Here is a 6,737-nt window from a genome sequence, read left to right as displayed (position 1 = left end):
TGCCACGCCTGAGCATCAGCCCAGGACTCTGCTCCCATACCTACCATACAGATTCCCAGCCCCTTCCCCCACCTCACCCACAGCCCCACCCTCCATGCTCACCATTCACTCCCTCTCCTCCCAGCCTCTAGCCATTTTCCCTAGTTCAACTAATATCCCTTGGAGACTGAACAGAAGCAGGGGCAGCCCCTGCCTAGCCAACAAGCCTATTCCCACAGGTTCTAGTGGAGATAAGAACATGAAGAGCCATGGTCTGAGCCAAGCCAGACCCCGCTGCACCTCACCTCACTGAGGTTTGCCCAACCTGGGAAGGAAGAGCCAGGAACCTGTATCATGGCTTGAAATTCCTTCTGACTCTCCTCCAGCTGCACTCCTTTATATCCTAATTCTGCAGACTCTCCTGCTTCAGATAATTGAGGAATGAAATTTCCATACTCACAGCCCTTCTAGAGGCCTATCCACCTTCCCTCCACCACCCCTGCTCCCAAACACACATTCACTCTGCTCTCTCCCTGCATTGCTTTTACAGCCTGCAGGTGTTTGGTGGAAGATAAAAGTGGTTCCTGGGGTGAGATTTCACCTCCTAGAATTATCAAAGTAAAGGCTTCTCTTGATGTCTTCACTGTGGGTGGCAGTAATTAGAAAGAATTATTTGAAATACTGGTTTCTGCATTGCTTCAAAAACCTCAAGGCTCTCAAGTTTACTTGAGTAATCTTGCCTATCTTAGTCATAGAACTTGTGAGAGACTCCGTGAGTATTTCTACCCTGGGGGATCTCCACCTCTGTCAGCCTTCTTGAGAGCCCTGGTGCTCCCACTGGTCAGAACAAGGCTCCTGAAAGTTTGCCCTAATCAGGCAGGAGCTGAAATGGCCCGGCAGAAGTGGTTGAAACCAATAGGGCTGAGAGGGATGTGGGGATAAAGAGCTGTGGTGGTGCCCAACATGGTCCCCTTTGGAACTGAAATTAAATTGGTGGGGCCTAGATGGTGCTGGAGACAGAGTCCTGGCCTGGGTGGAAGAAAATCTGTCCTCTGTAATGTTGTTTGGTTTGGGTCAAATCACTCTCTCCTCTCTGACCTTGAGTGTTTCCATCTGCAAAATGAGAAAGTTCGACTGTTTGAATGTTAAAGGCCCTTCTGTTTCTCAGGTTTTGTCCTCTTTCCCAGAGCTTTCTTCCCCTTAGGGTCTCCCAAGGAGCCAGAAGATTGCTCCTTGAGCAGAGAAAAGGGTTGGGAGGGAAAGTGCGGTGGAGGAGTAAAGGGCATTGATTAAACTGTCTCAGAGCCCTCCTATGTACCCTTTCCTGTCCTTCCCCATGGAGCCCTTAGAACCCCTGACAGTGAGACAGAGGAAAAACCTCTCCTGTGCCTTCCCTTTGCACAAGTCCATGGAACGGCCTCTGCATCAAGGAAAGGAAGGAGCTGGAGAAAACAAAAGGTAAAAGCTTTCCCAGAGGAAGGTGTTGTTGAGTTTGAGTCCCAGCTGGGAGCAGCCCCCAGCTCAGGACACTGCTGCTATTGTCTGACAGTTCCAGGACTGGCTGGGTGCCCAAGATGCTTTGATTTTTCTTCTCTTTGCCCTGTTTGTCTGCCAGAAGGCAGGGACAGTTTTTGTTTTCTTTTGGTAGCAGCTACAGAGGGGCTGAGTATGTCTGAAACATAGTGAGCAACTGAATGTCCACTGGCCGGCCACCTCTCCATGGACAGAAATCAGAAAAGCAAGGCAGGCAGAAGAGTTAATAGGGTCTGCCCTGCCTCTCCCAGTGATGCTCAATGAGGGAAGTGGAGGAAGAGGAGAAAGGGGACCTCGAATGCCGAATCAGGGAGGACCCTGGGGATGTGCTGAGGAACAGGGTTCCGGGAGCTTGCCGGGTCAGACAAAACTTGACAGCTGCTACTCCAGGAATCCATCCCCCAGTTACAATTCATCCTTGCCTGCTGGCAAGAGTTCCTTGAGCCGAGAAGACTGCCACTACCCAGGATGATTGCATCAGGGGCCTTCTGCCATGGATAAATGGGGAGCTGCTGCATTGGTTCTTAGCCTCTCTCCTTTCCCCATACTTGAAGTGAGGGCCCATAAGCTCCTGTGAGCCTATAAGACTGCCAAGATTGCCCTCCAAGCTGTTCCCCAAGGCCAAAGGTCGAACTTCTTCCCAGTTCTTCACTACTTTACTATTACCATCCCACTTCCATACTCAGTGGAGAGAGGGAAATTGTGTTTAGCTGTAGCCCCAACAGGAATCTAGGGCCTGCATGGCCTAGTTGAGAAGTTGTTTCTATTTCCAGAGAATTGCAGGGGATACACTTTCTTTATCCACAGCTATCCCTACTCCTAAGGAGGTACATAAACCAGGCCTTTGTATGCAGCTTTCTAAATAGTTAAATGTGTCTGAGGAAGGGGGAGGCCCATGGAAAGGACCACCCAGACAGAAAGTCTAGAAAGCTCTGCTCTAATGAAGCTGACCCAGAGGGAGAGAGACTGGGCAGGAGAACACATTCTACTGGAAGCCAGTATGACCTGTCCTTGGCCTGAGCCATCTGCCACTACCCAGGATGATTGCATCGGGGCCTTTCTGCCATGGATAAATAGAGAGAGGCTGCATTTGTTCTTAGCCTGTCTCCTTCCCCCACACTTAAAGTGAAGGACCATTCCCTAATCTCTGGCTGCAGCCCTGGCACCAAATACTTGATAGGTACGCCAGGCGCGGTGGCTCACGCCTGTAATCCCTGCACTTTGGGAGGCCAAGGTGGGTGGATCACCTGAGGTCAGGAGTTCAAGACCAGCCTGGCCACCATGATGAAACCCCATCCCTACTAAAAATACAAAAAGTTAGCCCGACGTGGTGGCGGGCGCCTGTAATCCCAGCTATTCAGGAGGCTGAGGCAGGAGAATCGCTTGAACCCAGGAGGTGAAGGTTATAGTTAGCCAAGATGGCACCACTGCACTCCAGCCTGAGCAACAAGAGCAAAACTCCATCTCAAACAAACAAATACTTGATAGGTGCTATTGGCCTCAACCTGCCCACAGGGAAGGAGCATACATACCCAGGCTTGGCCCCTAAATATAACAGGTGGTGATGGGGCTGCCCAGGACCCCCACTTCCCTCCTCCACATCTCAGGGTCATTGACTCTGCTTGGCCTAGATAACAGAAGCAGCCAAAAGCTGGCGAGTGAGAAGCCTAGAGGAATGCCAGAGAAAGCAAGCCTGCCTTGCCTCCACCATGAATTAACTCCCACATGAACCCACCCCTGAAGCCAGACTGGTCACTTTACCCAGCACTGTGTGTATGTGAGTGTGGGCTGCCTCACTTTTCCTGGCACTGTTCCTCAGCCATATGTATTATCTCATTTAATCCTTATGTTAATGTCAGAGATTATGTGACTTCCCTGAGATCTCACAACCAGCAAATGAAAGATCCAGACCATGAGCCATTCCTTTTCCTTTTAGATTCTGTCATCCTCCCACCTCTCCCATCCAGTTCCTTTCACTTCTGGAAACATCCCTGAGTACCCCCAACTCAGTGGTTTCCCCTGTGGTCTCTGTGCTCCCCCTCAGGCTATGAACTTCTAAAAAGCAGGTACCCTGCAACACCAGAACCCAGCAAAGGAATGGACACATAAGAGATCCCAAGGCTGGGCGCGGTGGCTCATGCCTGTAATCCCAGCACTTTGGGAGGCCGAGGCGGGTGGATTGCCTGAGCTCAGAGTTCAAGACCAGCCTGGGCAAAACGGTGAAACTCTGTCTCTACTAAAATACAAAAAAATTAGCCAGGCGTGGTGTCACGCGCCTGTGGTCCCAGCTACTCGGGAGGCTGAGATGGGAGGATCACTTGAGCCTGGGCAGTAGAGGCTGCAGTGCACCAAGATCATGCCACTGCACTGCAGCCTGGGTGACAGAATGAGACCCTGTCTCATTGAAAAAATTTAAAAAAAGGAGATCCCAAGACGTTTGTTTCATGAGTCAGTAATGAGATTTAATTAGATTGCTTTTATCCTGTTATTTGGAGAATATCTCTAGTTTAGGCCCAAAACACGTACCCAGGACCAGTGGAAATGACAGTGAAACAAGCTGTTCTATCATAAAGGAGGCTGCTTGCAGAAAGAGAAGAGAAGCCTCTTTATCCCTTCCTATTCCTGGGGTCTATGGCTTTGGCTCTGGCTGAGCTTAGCTGGGCTCAGGAAACCATTTTGTTTGGGAGAAGACAGGTCATTTTGTAGCTTGGAGCAGCCAGACAGCACTAGGCCCTAGGTTGGAAAGGCTGGAAACTGTAGACCCATTTCTTCCATCCTAGTCTTTGAACTATAAGGCAAGAGGTTTCCTTAATAGACAGACTTGGCCTTGGAAGCATCCATAGAAATGGTGGACTTTGTCACAATTGTTAGCAGTGATGGGCCTATGATGAAAGCAGAGTCCCAAGGCCCAAGTGGTTACAAATCTATTTATCCATGGACCTTATGTCTTGCAGAGTCTGGTAAAAAGGAAGGAGATTAAGACTTACTTAAAGCATAGCATCGGGAGTTGTACTCCTGATGACAACCAGTGCTGAGTCCAGGCCACTCCCTGTCTTCAGCTATTGCCCCAAGAGCAAACTAGGGGCCCATACAGACTTAAGTTAGAGGCTGTTTCTATTTCAGAGACTTGCTAGGGGTACAGTTCTTTTTAACCTTAAATTTTTTATGTTATCATTATTATTGTTTTTTGAGGCAGGGTCTCACTTTGTCGCCCAGGCTGGAGTGCAATGGCACAATCACAGCTCGCTGCAGCCTCTATCAACTCTCCTGCCTCAGCCTCCCAAGTAGCTGGGACTACAGGTGTGCGCCACCACACCCAGCTAATTTTTTATTTTTTGTAGAGATGGGGTCTCACTATGTTGCCAGGGCTTGAACTCCTGGCCTCAAGCAATCCTCCCGCCTCAGCTTCCCAAAGGGCTGGGATTACAAGCATGAGCTACCATGCCACTTTATGCTCAGCAGGACACACTCTATAACAGGGAGAAGAAAGTGCTATTCAGGTAGGCTGCTTTTCATGTGCAGTTACTGTTTGGCCAACAGCATCATACATATATTAGTTCCTCCATAGGCATTTTTCTGGGTGAATGGACAAATGGAAATGGCAAACCTGTTAGGTGTTCACCCCTTCAACCTAAATGTTCCTCTTCCCCAGGACTGAGGCTCTAGAGATGATGTTAATTTGCACAAGCTTTCAAAAAATCAGTTGAGCAGTGTGTATCAAGAGCCATAAAAATGTTCATACTCTTTGACCCAAACAACCCACTTCTGGGAATCTGTCCTAAGGATATTCTCCAAATGATTGATTACAAAAACTACATAGTAACATGAAATATTTATGATGGAATGATTTTTTTTAAGTCTGGAAGAACTGACCAAGAAATTTGCCAGAGATAATAGTAGTTGTGTTAGAAAAATTAGCTTATTGTAGATTCATTTTCTCTTTCTCAAACTTTACATATTGGAATATTGATTTTACCCTACTCTGCCACTTGAGGTTTATCAATCAGGAACCCAATAGAAACAGCACACTCAGATAGGATAGTTGAAAGTTTAATAGAGGGACTATTGCCTCTATTCTTCCCAATTTCCAATCCTTTACACCCTGAATTCTGCAACTCTTAGTGACTCACTCAACAATTATTAAGCACCTATTTATTGTCTGGTGAAGAAGGCAGACTTTCAAGTACATAAGTTTTTGTGTCATAAATGCAATTATACATATATAAATTGAGTTGTTATGCAGAGCACAAAGAAGCAATTATCTGCCAGGAGAGAGACATGAATCAAGGAAGGTTTCAAAGAGGGGGTAGGCTGGGTACAGTGGCTCACGCCTATAATTCCAGCACTTTGGAAGGCCCAGGTGGGCAGATGACCTGAGCCCAGGAGTTTGAGACCAACCTGGGCAACATGGCAAAACCCTGTCTATACAAAATTACAAAAATTAGCTAGGTGTGGTGGTGCACACCTGTAGTCCCAGCCATTTGGGAGGTCGAGGTGGGAGGATCCCTTGAGACTGGGAGCTCAAGGCTGCAGTGTGCTGTGAAGGCACCACTGCACTCCAACCTGGGCAACAGAGGGAGATCCTGCCTCAAAAAAAAAAAAAAAAAGGTGGGTTTTGGGGGTGATTCAAGTTCAGTTTTTGAAGATTATCTGCCAAGACAAAAGGACCAAAACATGTACAAAGGCAGGAACGAGGGAACACTGATGTGAGGGAACTATGGGAGAGAAGGCTTTAGCTAGATCACACAGGGCCCTGTGCTCCAAGTGGGCCTTGTGCTTTGGAGCTATCAGATTTGCATGTTAGAGAAATGACTCTGGTCTCAGTGGAGAGAGTGGACTGAAGAGGGCAAGAATGGAAGCCGGGAAGAGTGAACAGAAGAAATCTTGGGCTTTGATTGGGTCGGAAAGAAAGTGTGGCCCTACCCACTTTGATGCCATCTCTAAGACCTACTGCTACCTGACCCCCGACCTCTGGAAGGAGACTGTATTCACCAAGTCTCCCTATCAGGAATTCACTGACCACCTCGTCAAGACCCACACCAGAGTCTCCGCGCAGAGGATCCAGGCTCCAGCTGTGGCTACAACATAGGGTTTTTATACAAGAAAAATAAAGTGAATTAAGCCTGAAAAAAAAAAAAAAGAAAAGAAAAAGAAATTGTGGCCCTAGGCCGGGCGCGGTGGCTCACGCTTGTCATCCCAACACTTTGGGAGGCTGAGGCGGGCGG

Source organism: Homo sapiens, chromosome 1 (genome assembly GCF_000001405.40).
Source record: "Homo sapiens chromosome 1, GRCh38.p14 Primary Assembly".
NCBI classification, from domain to species: Eukaryota; Metazoa; Chordata; class Mammalia; order Primates; family Hominidae; genus Homo; species Homo sapiens.
Note: the sequence above shows the minus strand (reverse complement) of the source record.